The sequence below is a fragment of the Homo sapiens genome, chromosome 10, assembly GCF_000001405.40.
Source record: "Homo sapiens chromosome 10, GRCh38.p14 Primary Assembly".
In the NCBI taxonomy this organism is placed as follows: domain Eukaryota; kingdom Metazoa; phylum Chordata; class Mammalia; order Primates; family Hominidae; genus Homo; species Homo sapiens.
In genome coordinates, this window is record NC_000010.11 from 14,518,260 (window position 1) to 14,532,132 (window position 13,873).

A 13,873-nucleotide genomic window follows, 5' to 3' on the forward strand; every position below is an offset into this window, starting at 1 on the left:
ATCTAAAATGCAGAATACTTTGAGCTGAGGACTGACTGATGGCTGCTGCTGAAGGGCCATATGGCCTACTGCAATGTGTAATTTACAGTGCCATAAATACCTGAGATGACTCTGTTTGATATGACAAACTGTCAGCTTGACTGCCACAAGGCAATAGGACATAAGTGATTTGGGGGCAAGGTTGTCAATGAGGACCAGTCATCAAAAGGGAGACCCTGGAACCAACTCTCACCTTTGAAATGAACCCAGCCCCGTTCTGTTCCAGATGCACACCTTCAACAGATCAGACAAACATGGTTGCATGGTCCAAGCATGTGGTGATTTTTATTAAGAATAACTTTGGTTCTAAGAATTCCACCCTCAATTCTTTAATACTTTCCGTTAAAAACAATTATACAAGAGCAAATACAAAAAATATTAAATTATGAAAACCAATCCATTAAGGCTCCCTTTATATATATTATATACACTCAAACAAGTCAAGATTTTTCAGAGTAGAAGAATAAAGTCGACTGTTATAGCTTAGAAAGCAACACTACTACTATGAGACTATAAAACATTAAACTATTTTAAGAAAACCACGCTGTGGAAAAATGGAGCCATTTTTGTCAAAAAGTGGCTCAAAGCACAAAACTGCTCAGATGTTCAAGAGTCCTAGGAGTTTGGGCTGCACAGTATTAAGGGGTGAGAGGAGACCGACAGCCTGTTTGAATCAGGCTTGTGAGCCCAGCTCATCTGACAACTTCAAAGAGCTTCTCTGCCTATACATTCCACCGTTTAGCATAAGACACCACTTTACGCTATTTACAAGTCTCCTTTTGGCCAGATTTTGTATTACTAATTACAAATAATTCTGCAGATTTGAGTGAGATTAGGAAAGAAATGCTTTCTTAAGTAACTTTTTTTTTTTTCAGTGAAGAATGAATTCTAGTTAAGCTCTAGGAACAGAAATGGTCCTTCTAAAGGAGCCTACCAGGGCCCCTGTGAATACGATCAAGTGGCAGAATTGCTTCGAGAATACAGATTTCAAGATCTGACATCTAGTTAGATAAAAAGATATGAGCCAGTCCCGAATCTTCATTTTACAAACAGCATCGCTAGTCCACAGACACAAAGAAAGAATTCCAGTCAACGTGCAATCAGAAATGGGCTTTTCAAGATCATCAGTCATCACACTTCCTTCTCTCAAAAGAACGATGGGAAAAAATAGTTACCATTCCATTCTTCGAAACCAAATTACTGTAGAGCAACAATTTTTCTTAAGCATTTCTCATTTTATTCAAATAATACTTGCTGATGAGATAAATAATCCATTTCAGGTATAATCAACTAACATGTTTCTCTAACTAGCAGTATATTATCATTGCATTTACTTTTGTTCCCATTCAGATTGAATATGGGCCTAATTGTCAACTGCTAACACTAAAGCATTCCCATAGAAAGCTAATTTCTACTGTGCTAATTAAGGATTCAAAAGCTCTAGATCCAGCTTTCTATGAGTCTTCAAAGAAAGTATGAGAAGTCTCTCCAATGCAGAAATGACTGGCTGAACTGTCTCTACGGAGCATACTAAATCCTCAACAATTCTTCGGTATCACCCAGGCAAAAGGTACCGATGCCCACACTAGCAGTTTAAAACTAATTTTGCATGAGAATGCGGCTGCTGTCTGTAACTCGGCCCCCTCTCTGAGGAGCGTGCTGCTAGCTAGAACAAGGGAACTCAGCAGCCCCTCCCTTCCCATCAGCTGTTCCTGAGAGATGCAATATAGTAGTCATCGACATCATCCTTATCAACAGCATCATCACTCAGACAGTGGTGAAAGTCTTTCTTCACAAGGAAAAACAAAGATAAAGAAATACATGAGCATTAATCAGAAATTTTCAAAGCTTGGATTCTAATGATATGCATTATCATTAGACATTCAAATGCTATACATCTTCTGATGAAGCCTCCTTGACAGCAGTCTACACTTATTTCACATTAGAATGCCTAGAGAAATCCTGACTGCCCAGCTGGTCATGGGAACCTTCCCCACTCTCCTCTTGGAGAAATGAAAAGATGTGGCGGCTTCTACTTTTGCTACTGAAGCTGGGTTATATGGACTAGTTCCACTCTCTAAGGGACTGGAAGGTTATTCCATCTGAAAGAACTAGATCAGCAAGACATTTAAAAACAAAACTGAACAGAAACCCTCCTAGTAATCAAAGCAATTAATGAATGGACAGGATGTACCTTCTTGGAACTGGAATGTCACTATGTAGCCTGCTATTATTACACAGAGAACCAAAAGGAATGAAAATAAAATCAAGATGGGCTTTTAAACTTCTCACCCTATTTCTAAATTAAGTGCCAACAAGGGTAGTGGCTGTGCTCGACATTCACGTTCCTTCTCTGGTGTTAACTGCAACAGGGGTGAAAGTATAAATTAAACAAGACAATTCTGGGTCCTCAAAATTTACAGTGAGTGAACAGATTAAACGCATTTCTAGGTGATCTCAATTATCTAACAGATAACAAAAAGAGGAATTAAACACTTGTTTTTTAGCTTTTAAAAGAAAAAAGGCTCTGGGTCCCACGAAACTTGGAATGGAAGAAAAACCAAGTAGTGCAACTCTCAAGAATTGATTCCAGTGTCCTCTTCCTTTTTCCTGTTCTCACTTGTTTTGCTTGTTGGTTCTGTTAAGTCTCTGAACACAGGTCCATCATTCCAACTTACGTGCGGGGCACTGCCCTTCATTTGGCGAATAGGAACTGCAACTGTCACAGGCAAGGCATCCACCCAGATCGTAGGAAAATCAAACCAAATCCTACTGCAAGTCAAAATTCTCTGCTGGCTGAAATATTCTCCAGGGGCTTTTGCCCTGAGATTGAGAAGGCACCCACAGACAGCTCTGTGGGGTGACACACGAGGTCTTGGTGCAGCCTCAGCCTAGGACTCCTGGGCTTGGGCGACTTCTTGGCCTGTTCTCCTGAGATTGCCTTTCACCTTCACAAACTCGGGGGCATTTTCTTGCTCTTCTTGCAATTTCTGCTTCTCAAGTTCAAGCTAAATGACATTCAGAAAAGGAAAAATTATTTACAAACCAAGCAGCCTTTCAAAATACTCTTCTCTCTTTTCAAAGTCCCTGACAACTTTACTTCCCCACAGAATAAATTCTCTCCTGGTCCCCCACTTTTAAAGAAATGGATGGATAGAGTCTGGGTAATTGTGCACAGAAACAGAAGCCACTTGGCTGTCACTGCAAATAGGACCACGAGATGACAAGAATTGAAAAGACAGGGCTAAGGAAACAAATCCTGGAGTCAACGCGCAGTTGCTCTGGAGTCTTCATGAAAGTGAATTTCATTAAATTACTCCAGCACCCTGTGTGAATTCAGTGCCATGTCCCTGTTTTGCTTTTGCCTCTGGGATCTCTTTTAGGTCCTCAGTAGGATTCTTGTCCCTGCCTTGAACATATTTGACCCCATTTGCTGACATTTGTCTCCAATATTTCTTTCATGGTATAAATGTATACACTGGCACGTCTGGTAAATCCTGCCCGCTCCAACACTCCAACATTCTTCAAGACAAAAACAAAAAAAGACAGCTTCCAGCCAATCCCCCTTACCTGCTCCAACTTCTGCTGCCGTTTTAATAGCTCTATTTCCAAGTCAGATTTCTTCTTCTGTGCTTCTTCTTCCTTCTGCTTTATTACTTGGTCTCGTTTTCTTTTTTCCATCACCTTCTGCAATTCTGGTTTGTTCTGAGGAGCAAGACCCCTGCGAAAGAGCATTAACAAAAATAGAAAACGTTAATCTAATGGCTACATTTTTTATGAACAGAAATTTAACTTACAATATCAACCACGGAAAAGTGGTCTACAAAATTAGTATGATACCTACTAGGCTACAGCAGGCAACATGGTGATCTAAGAAATTCACCAGCACGAAAGAAAGGCAAGAGGAGATCTCCAAAGAGTACATAAAATCCATTCATTCAATGACAATGTATTGGCCACGTGCCATGTGCAAGACACTAGGCTACGCAAAGGAGGGCAGTGAGGGTGGGGATGTGCGTACGATGACTGTGATGGGTGCCCATGACAGAGACGGAGATGGTCAGGAAATGAGGGGGCTCTGCATGGAGGGGAGGCTTCCCAAAATCTAGCCCCTGATTTTTTTTTTTTTTTCTGAGACAGAGTCTCACTCTGTCACCCAGGCTGGAGTGCAGTGGCAGGCAATCTAGGCTCAATGCAACCTCCGCCTCCCAGGTTCAAGCAATTCTCCTGCCTCAGCCTCTGGAGTAGCTGGGATTACAGGCGTGCACCACCACGCCCGGCTAATTTTTGTATTTTTAGTAGAGATGGGGTTTCACCATGTTGGTCAGGTTGGTCTGAAACTCCTGACCTCGGGATCCACTCGCCTCGGCCTCCCAAAGTGCTGGGATTACAGGCGTGAGCCACCACACCTGGCCTCTAGCCCCTGATCTTATGCACTAAATGCAGCCTCAAGACCAGCTTAGACAGTAAAATGGCCCTGGAAACCTTCCCACCCTTCATTTTTCAGACTGAAAGGGGGTTCCTGTACATCTAAAGGCACATCTGAGGTTATACCGTTACTGAAGGACATGGCCGTGCAGAACCTTAATCCCCTAATTCTCAGTCCCGTGCTCCTCCACCGAAACCCTTTCAGATGTGTAGTTGATTATTTACAATGAAAGCAAGTCGGCCTTCAGGGAAGTCCTACATTTCTGAGAGATAAATTAGGCTACCATCTCTCCAAATGGGGAGAAACAAGCCAAACAGGCCATGAACTAGCCACCCTCCATCTGAAATATTCGAGAGAAGTCAAGGGAAAGACATGTCTTAGCATTTTCTCTAGTGCTATATCTGTCTGTTTAACTGTTAGCTTAAGATTTGCCTTTTCTATTTCCTTAGGATTTCTCCTATGGCTTTCCAGAATGCTGGATTATCCAGCTCACCTTTCTTCTTATTGTCTTCCTTAGTCACTTATCTTAGCCAGTCTCTGCCAACTCATAAGTAATCTCAACTTGATGTTAAAATTTACCAGGACAATTTAAAATAAAAATAGGACAAACCACCGAACAGGAAAAGCGCTTTCAATTTCAGGCAGCACAGGGTGTAGGTAACAGCGCACACACACTCATGCTACGCACGCAGGCATGTGGTGGAACAGTAATTCAGGCTTTTCTGAACTGCAGGCAACAAGCACTGCTGACTCTGTCCCGGACTCCAGGATGGGCCTGAGCACCTCCCACACACCTCCTGGTCCGGCTGCTGATGACTGCTAATCTGTAGACAAGGGACAGGGTTGTTCTCTAAACGACTCCTATCAACTACCGTGACTAACCAACTAGGAGTCATCTGAGCAACTGTTAAATAACAATTTCCAATATATGTGCTCCGGCCAGAGAAATTCAACAGCACACTCACCTTGATCCCTTTAAAGTCCACACAATCACATCTGTAAACCAATCCTCAATTGCATACTTCCTCATTCATCTAGAATTTCTAAAAATTCTGGCATCTCTCCTATCTAGATGTTTTTAAAAATCACAAAAACTTAATTCAAAGTTGTTGTTTAGAGTAAAAATCGGTATATTCCATCTTTTTTTTTTTTTTTTTCTGAGACAGGCTCTCTCTGTTGCCCGGGCTGGAGTGCAGCGGCATGATCTCAGCTCACTGAAACCTCTGCCTCCTGGGCCCCAGCGATCCTCCCACCTCAGCCTCCTGAGTAGCTGGGACCACAGGCACATGCCACCACGCCCAGCTCTATTTTTTTTTTTTTTTTTCGTTTTTGAGATACAGTTTTCCTCTTGTTGCCCAGGATGGAGTGCAATGGCACAATCTCGGCTCACTGCAACTTCCTCCTCCCAGGTTCAAGCGATTCTCCTCCCTCAGCCTCCCGAGGAGCTGGGATTACAGGTGCCCGCAACCACGACCGGATAATTTTTTGTATTTTTAGTAGAGACGGGGTTTCACCATGTTGGCCAGGCTGGTCTCGAACTCCTGAGCTCAAGCCGTCTACCTGCCTTGGCCTCCCAAAGTGGTGGGATTATAGGCATCAGCAACCACACCCAGCTAGTATAGTCCATCTTTAATGACAGAGGACACACAGTCAAAATAATATATGTCTCCAATTTCCCAATTTTCATTAGCAGAACTTTCCGTTAAAAAAAATTTGGCCAAATTTCCAGGGAAACAAAAGAGGCAGGTGACTTTTGTGATTTAATTATGGTTTATTTCACAGTTATCAAAACTAAATAAACAACAGGATAAAAAATATGCACAGATTAAATCTTTAATCAGCACAATATAAGTTGCTTAAGAGTACTCTGTTCAAAATAAAGGTGTTATTAACCACAGGAAAAGCTGTTTTTAAGTAATCTGAATAAAGTTTTACTCAGTTTCATGACTATCAAAAAGTCTTGATATAACACTACAGACAGAATTAAGGGGTTTAAATTTTAGGATTAAGAATTTAGCTATCTGAATAATTTAAATTTCAAACATTTTTCTTTCCCTACATTTCACTGGCAAAATTAACTTCAACTATTATTCAATTCTCCTGGATTATGCAAAAGCTGCTGAAGATTTGATGTATGACACATTTGGCTGACACTCTATTGCAACCTATGAATGGGTTTAACTATTACACAGTATTCATTTTCCTTTCAAAGATTTTACACAATAGTGACAGTAAGATAAAATATGTAGTAACAAAAAATTCAGGAAAATGGTGCTTATATGATAAATATTCTCTACTTACAGCAGTCAAGAAGTCATATAAATTTAGTTAATATTTTACCACAGTGGATTACTTAACTTTCTGTGCTGAATGCAAAAAGTCAAGCATTGCCCATGTAAGTCTCTAAGTCTAAATGGAACAGAGATAGTGTCGACAGACAGAAATTAGTTTCTCCAAATGTCATAATTAACTACAATACCATCCCTTGCACAAGAATAGTTGGTTCTCTTTAATCAATTCTGACATATACAGCTAACAAGTACTTTCAACCCCTTTATGACAGTATCACCCACGAGTAACAGTAATTCCCAAGTCGGCTTCTCGGTCAGGTAGCTACCTGTGACTACTGAAGCGGGCAAAGCCAATTTAAAAAACTATAAAATTAATAAGTGCTCTTTGCAGAAAAAGAAAAGTAATATACCCATGTGTTAAATAAAAAGCAAAAGCACATCCAAACCCTCTCCATTAAACGAATCGAGGAGCACCACTCCATCGCAAATGTTCTATGTGAACAGTGGCCCCAAAATTATGCAAAGTAGAGACCCTGTACCCATCAACCCCTACCTATTCCTGCATCCAGAGATAACTCTTACCAACAGTTGGGTCTATGTTCCTCCATACTTTCTATACCCATATAAACATGCCACAATTCTGCCACATCCCTACTGACAGACATCTATTTGGTTTCCAACTGTTCACTATTAAAAACAATGAGGCTCTGAGCCTCTGTGGACATTTATAGCTGCACACTTCTACAAGTATTTCTGTTGGCTAGATTCATAGAAGCGGAGTTGCTGGCTAAGCATCTGCACATCGCATATTTTGATGAGTACTGCCAAAGTGCCCTACAAAAAGGCTGCAATGATTTATATTCCCACCCCCAGAGTATGAAACATACAGACAACTTTGAAAGGTACATTTCACATAAACCACTAAATACATTCAAGGGCAGACGGGGCGAGTCCCCATTCATTCCACATCTACCTGAACTCTGTGTACCTATATATTAATAAGTGAAGTCATTTCATTACCTGGGACAGCATTCATCCAGAGGAAAGGTCTGGGGCTCAGACCGTCACAGAACAATGCCTACTCACTTAGTCAAACATCTCCCGGCCTAATTATTTTTCTTAGGGTACAGGGAAAATTTGATTTGAATTTAGCCCTTGTTCTTTTTTTCCGGGGGGACAGAGTCTCGCTCTATTGCCCATGCTGGAGTGCAGTGGCATGACCTCGGCTCACTGCAACCTCCGCTTCCTGGGTTCAAGCTATTCTCCTGCCTCAGCCTCCCAAGTAGCTGGGACTACAGGCGCGTGCCACCACGCCCAGCTAATTTTTTTGTATTTTTAGTAGAGATGGGGTTGCGCCATGTTGGCCAGGCTGCTCTCAAACTCCTGACCTCAGGTGATCTGCCTGCCTCGGCCTCCCAGAGTGCTGGAATTACAGGCGTGAGCCGCCGCGCTGGGCCTGAATTTCAGCCCTTGTTCTTTAATCTTGTAATCTTTGGTTTGGCCTGCCTCATTTACATTTCTGGTTTAGTCATTTTTACCTGCATGGATTGGAACACAAATACTTGTATCCTTTATCTCTAGAACTGCCCCTATCTTTTTCCATGTTGTACAGCAGCAAGTATTTATTGAGGAACTATTCAACTAGTAAAGCATGCCAAAAGAATGTCAGCTAAAAACCAGGAACAAGAAGCCACTGACTTCAAAATATACAAGCCAAAGAACCAATTTTAGGGATATGTTTAAGTAACTGACCTATTTATTCTAAAAAGTAATCTTTGTAGAGCACAGAATCTATCTCTCTAAATAATATCAGAAATATTAATTTTTTTTTTTTTTTGAGACGGAGTCTCGCTTTGTCACCCAGGCTGGAGTGTAGTGGCGCCATCTCAGCTCACTGCAAGCTCCGCCTCCCGGGTTCACGCTATTCTCCTGCCTCAGCCTCCTGAGTAGCTGGGACTACAGGTGCCCACCAACACGCCCAGCTAATTTTTTATATTTTTAGTAGAGATGGGGTTTCACCGTGTTAGCTAGGATGGTCTTGATCTCCTCACCTCGTGATCCACCCGCCTCGGCCTCCCAAAGTGCTGGGATTACAGGCGTGAGCCACCACACCCAGCCCTTCTTAATTGTTTTTTTAAAGATCCCTTCAATAGTAATCTTTTAACCAAAAAAAAAAAAAAGCCTTTTGAAATCTGCCTTTTTATACTACTGAAAACACCTGTGGAAAGTGAGAACCTGACACAAGGTTTTAACCGTCAGACCTAGAGGCTTCAAAGACTTTTAACCTGAAACTAAGCTGGGTTCCAAAGACAGTAAATAGAGGAATAGGATTACACACTAGAAAGAGCATAGGTTTCGCAGTTAGAAGACCTGTGGGTACTTGTTCTCTTAAGTTCTTGTTCTCAGCCTGTAACACATAATCTCTGAAATGTAACTGGAAAAACTGAACTGCCATAGAGCTTTGAGCTAAATTTGTAGCTATGCGTAGCAAAGGTATAAGTCTCCACATAAACTTGCTTTTATTTCTAAACACTATTTCAAAAAACTATTATGTAATCTTGAGATGATTCCTTAAACCAGTCACCTTGAGATTACTCACCTGAGTGAGGGTAACCTGAAGATAACACACACTGGGCTATTAGAAAGAGCACCAGATGAGACAAAATGTAGGAAGACTTGTTATAAACTACAGAAAAGCAAATGGATTTTTATTACAATACCATGCAGTAATCAAGACTGGTTATTCATTAACCAAACACACACAGTATTGATGTGATGTATCCTATAGTTTGGCACTAAAATTTAGAAATAAAAACCCCAGTCTCTAAAAAGTATACAAAATAAAAGATGAATAAAAGGAAAGAAACTGAGAAATTCTCACTTTAAAATCACTGTATTTCTAACAAGTTTGGTATTACCTTGAAAACTCTTAAGAGATAAGATGAGATATATTTTCATTTCATTTTGAAATCTGCCTTTTCTTTTTTTTTTTTTTAATGTATTTCCAACCAGACCAAAATCCTTCAAAGAAAAGGGAGAAAAAGCAATAGGAAATTCCAGTTGTTGTCACATAGGAAGTGGAAGATAGATGTGACTAAGTGATCACTTATTATGTTAAGCATTTTCATACACGCTATTATTTACTTTAAGTTTTGGTTTTTTTTTTTTTTTTTTTTTTTTAGAGACAGAGTTTTGCTCTGTCACCCAGGCTGGAATGCACTGGCACAATCTCGGCTCACTGCAACCTCCACCTCCCATGTTCAAGCAATTCTCCTGCCTCAGCCTCCCGAGTGGTTGGGATTACAGGCATGTGCCACCAAGCCCGGCTAATTTTTGTATTTTTAGTAGAGACAGGGTTTCGCCAGGTTGGCCAGGCTGGTCTCAAACTCCTGACCTCAGTGGATCCACCTGCCTTGGCTTCTCAAAGTGGTGGGATTACAGGCGTGATCCACGGTGCCCAGCCTACTTTAATTTTTATAAGAAAAATACTATTATCTCCCACTTTATAGATGAAGAAACAGATCTCAAGAGGGGATACCTTGGCCAAGATCATAAGGTAGGTAAAGTTAAGTTCTGGTAAAACCAAGATTCATATCATTTCTCTCTGACCTCAAAGCCCACATCCTCTCTACACCATAGTACTTTAGGGAAACCCAGCATTGTCTCAGGTTAGTTGAGCTGGGCAAACAAGGAGAAGAACAGGCCAGACAAAGACAGACAGAATGGAAGCCCTTTCTCTAAAAAATGTGGAAACAGACTCAACTGCACAAATCTGTAGGTTTTACAGCAATGACCCAAACTACTAAATATATTTTTGCAGAATAATTCATAGCCTATAATTTAGAGAACACTTATTCTGCAAATGTTGGTTTTACTCTGACCTTTATTCTGACTTGGAGCCCTTTCATAGATTTTCCTAGAAGAAAAAATTTGAGCTAAAATGTTTCTTAGAGAACAGCTAAGTCTCCTACCTTACACTTTATAGATAAGGGAACTGAGGCCAAAGAGGTGAAGATAATCTGAAAATCTTTGAGTGACAACTGCTATTCTATTTCGGAGCCTACTAAACTGACGAGCTTTCCACCAAAATGAAGACATGATTTCCCAGGCAGGATAGGATGGCTTCTAAATTCTGTGGTCTATTTTAGGAACTTGATAGTCTCATTTTGCTTTGGCCATAATAATACCAAATTCATATATTCTTTCTTCTATTGTGTGACAAAGGCAGATGGAAGCTAAAATCTTATTTGCATTCAATTTAATATACATTAATCCAACAGCTTCCTACTAATATGCTGGGGATAAAACAGGAGTAAGCCACATTCTCACACTCTAGAGGGAGAAACGTATTTACAAATAATTCCTGGGATAGATAGGAGTCATTTTTTCTAGCTGGAGTGTACTCAGGAAAGAGAATTGCCATAAAAATGCCCCTTGATCCTCTTTAAAACATTTGTTTAACTAGGCCTCCCTGCAAAAAATTACCCTAATGCTAAACTTGATCTGCGTATCTTTCAGTTCAGTGGGAGACCTTTCACCAGGGCTTAGCAAAGAGTGGGCAAATGAGTCATCTATAGTCCTACGAGATCTGAAAATAATCCTAAATGAAGCTTCCTAGTTCTTAAATTGAAAAAAATAGCCTTTCATCCTCAGTTCTCCTAGTCTCCTGTCCTGCCCAAATTATTTAAAAAGCAGAGTATAGCAACCCAACATCCATAATGATTTATGGCACAGATGGAGTTTGCAAAGTAGATAGAAGGTAAATGCTTTCCTGTCCTCCAAAATAATTAATAATAAAGACTATGATAATAATCTTTTAAAATGCTACCCCCAAACAAACAAAAACATGAGTGTCCTATCTATTAAGTCTAATATGGTTCTAGAGACTTCTCCCCACTACTGACAAATGCCGGAGTAGGCGGCAATTACATGATTCCTACACCTTCCCCAGTGTAAGGAGAAAATTCAGAGATTTTAAATTTAAGAACATATTTCTCTTCTACTTAGGACATTCTCTTCTATCTTTAATCCAGCCTCTTCCATCCGAATTTGGAAATACACATCCATTTCAGAAGGGAACCCGTGACTGCAGGAGTCTGGAAGCACTGCTGGCCACCACAGTGATGGCCACCTGCAGGGGATCTGCCTCACGGAGGGGTAACCCGGTTCTAGGATGTGAGAAGGAATAAGAAAGCCTTAACAAAGTGCAAGAAATCAAAGACTCTTTGAAGCCTCTGTAAATACAATTAAAATTAGATATCATGATCTTAAAAGTCCTCTTAAAAAAAAAATATGCTCAAGAAACCATTTTACCTTTTTTGATTCATAAGAAGTTCTCTGTGAAGATCTTGATGGTTCCGGGAGGTTTTTACAGGATTGATCAGTTTCTGAGGCCTAATGAGTTCAGGATTGTCATCTTCTATGTAGTCTGGCTCGGCCATGATGCTTCTTGTAATGAGATATGAGTCCTTATGGTCAATATCCTCAGGTGGGCTGTCTGAAAGAGAAAGATGAGAAACACTCATTTGCAGTTTTTGCTAAGGCTTTTCCCACACATGCAGAGGCCCACAGAGCTGTGCTCAGTATGCTAACACATGCCATCCTCCTGAGTCCACTCTGGGGCATCGCTGATAAATATTCTAAAGCGCTTGGAATGTAACTGGGCTGGGGCAGGGAAGAGAATGGTGGCCTGGTCTCGTCTTGCCCATGACTAAGGCCAGGGAGCCCTGTGGCCTGACTTCTATCACTGCCACTGCCACAACTTGGGTTCCGGTCACAAAGGATGCTTCCTGCCACCCTGTCTCCATATCGACCTCAGAACAAGCACTTGAGTATGTCAGAAAAAAAGAAAGTTCAAATGAAAATTGGAACACTGGCCCACAATGGCTGCAGTTGGACACATGTGTCAGGAAAGAGGGGCCTATAAACTAAAGCTGGCCTCTTGCCTATCTTACTGGAGTTTGTTAAATATTTCACTGATGGTTATTGGTCATAAATCTGTTTACCAGATACAGAACAAAGACGGGATGGAATCAGTCACCCTCCACCAGACTCTAAGATGCCTAACCTTTCTCCTACCCACTCAGCTGCATATTTACCTTATTTATCTTATGCACAGCCTCTGTGACCACCAATCACAATCACAGGACTGAAACCGCTGCTTCACTGCCTGCTTCGCCCACCGCTGTGCCACATGTATTCCCCTGTTACAAAATACAAGGCCGAGCAAGGTGGCTCATGCCTGTAATCCCAGCACTTTGGGAGGCTGTTGTGGGAGGATCACTGAGGCCAGGAGCTCAAGACCAGCCTGGGCAACATAGCAAGACCCCATATGTTTAAAAAACATTGGAAATGCCCTGGGCATAGTGGTACATGCCTATAGTCTCAGCTACTCAGGAGGCTGAGGTGGGAGAATCACTTGAGCCCAAGAGTTGAGAGGCTGCAGTGGGCTATGATTGCACCACCGCACTCCAGCCTGGGTGACAGAGCAAGAGCAAGACCTCATATCTCTAAAAGAAAAGAAAAAAAAAAAAAAAAAAGAGGCTGGGCACAGTGGCTCATATATGTAACCCCAGCACTTTGGGAGGCTAAGGTGGCTAGATCACTTGAGGCCAGGGGTTTGAGACCAGCCTGGCCAATATGATGAAACCCTGTCTCTACTAAAAATACAAAAAATAGCCAGGCGTGGTGGCGTAGTCCCAGCTACTTAGGAGGCTGAGGCAGGAGAATCGCTTGAAGCCAGGAGGCAAGAGGTTGCAGTGAGCCGAGATCGCACCATTGCACTCAGCCTGGGAAACAGAGAGAGACTCTGTCTCAAACAAAACAAAATAGAAAAGGAAAGGGAATGAAACGTATATATATTGCGCCTCACATAACTTACTTTGGAACCCATTCTCAGTCTACACTGAGTCTGTGTTCTCAGGCTTAAGTAAGTCCTCAAACTTGGCTCCAAATAAATCTAACTGCGATTTCTCTAAGTTTTAGTGCTTGTTGTTTCACTTGTTGGTCAATAGGCACCGGACCCAGGTCCTTTACTGCTAATCCTTCAGCCTCAGCAAATCAATCTATGCTACAAACATATCAATGCTGACCCTGTGCCAGTGGAAAAGGCTTC

At 41.4% G+C, this 13,873-nt stretch overlaps 1 protein-coding gene across 30 annotated transcripts in view, besides 1 other annotated feature; it reads right to left on the minus strand.

The window, feature by feature from the left end:
* Positions 1-297: 297 nt before the first annotated feature.
* Positions 298-13,873, minus strand: part of FAM107B (family with sequence similarity 107 member B) — a 256,341-nt gene continuing 242,765 nt past the window's right edge. For all 30 annotated transcript variants that reach the window (NM_031453.4, NM_001282695.2, NM_001282697.2 and 27 more), the window contains 3 exons: positions 12,073-12,256; positions 3,610-3,760; positions 298-3,047 (listed from right to left, as the gene is read on the minus strand). In NM_031453.4, the coding sequence (NP_113641.2) occupies positions 2,931-3,047; positions 3,610-3,760; positions 12,073-12,256 (452 nt within the window). In that variant the 3' untranslated portion in view covers positions 298-2,930. The remainder of the gene's footprint in view (positions 3,048-3,609; positions 3,761-12,072; positions 12,257-13,873) is intronic.
* Positions 1,379-1,894: an enhancer, noted in NCBI's record as "OCT4-NANOG hESC enhancer chr10:14561637-14562152 (GRCh37/hg19 assembly coordinates)". NCBI's record gives its function as "activates a minimal SCP1, AML or CMV promoter by ChIP-STARR-seq in primed H9 embryonic stem cells {active_cell/tissue: H9 hESC(primed)}" and the evidence as "EXISTENCE:reporter gene assay evidence [ECO:0000049][PMID:30033119]".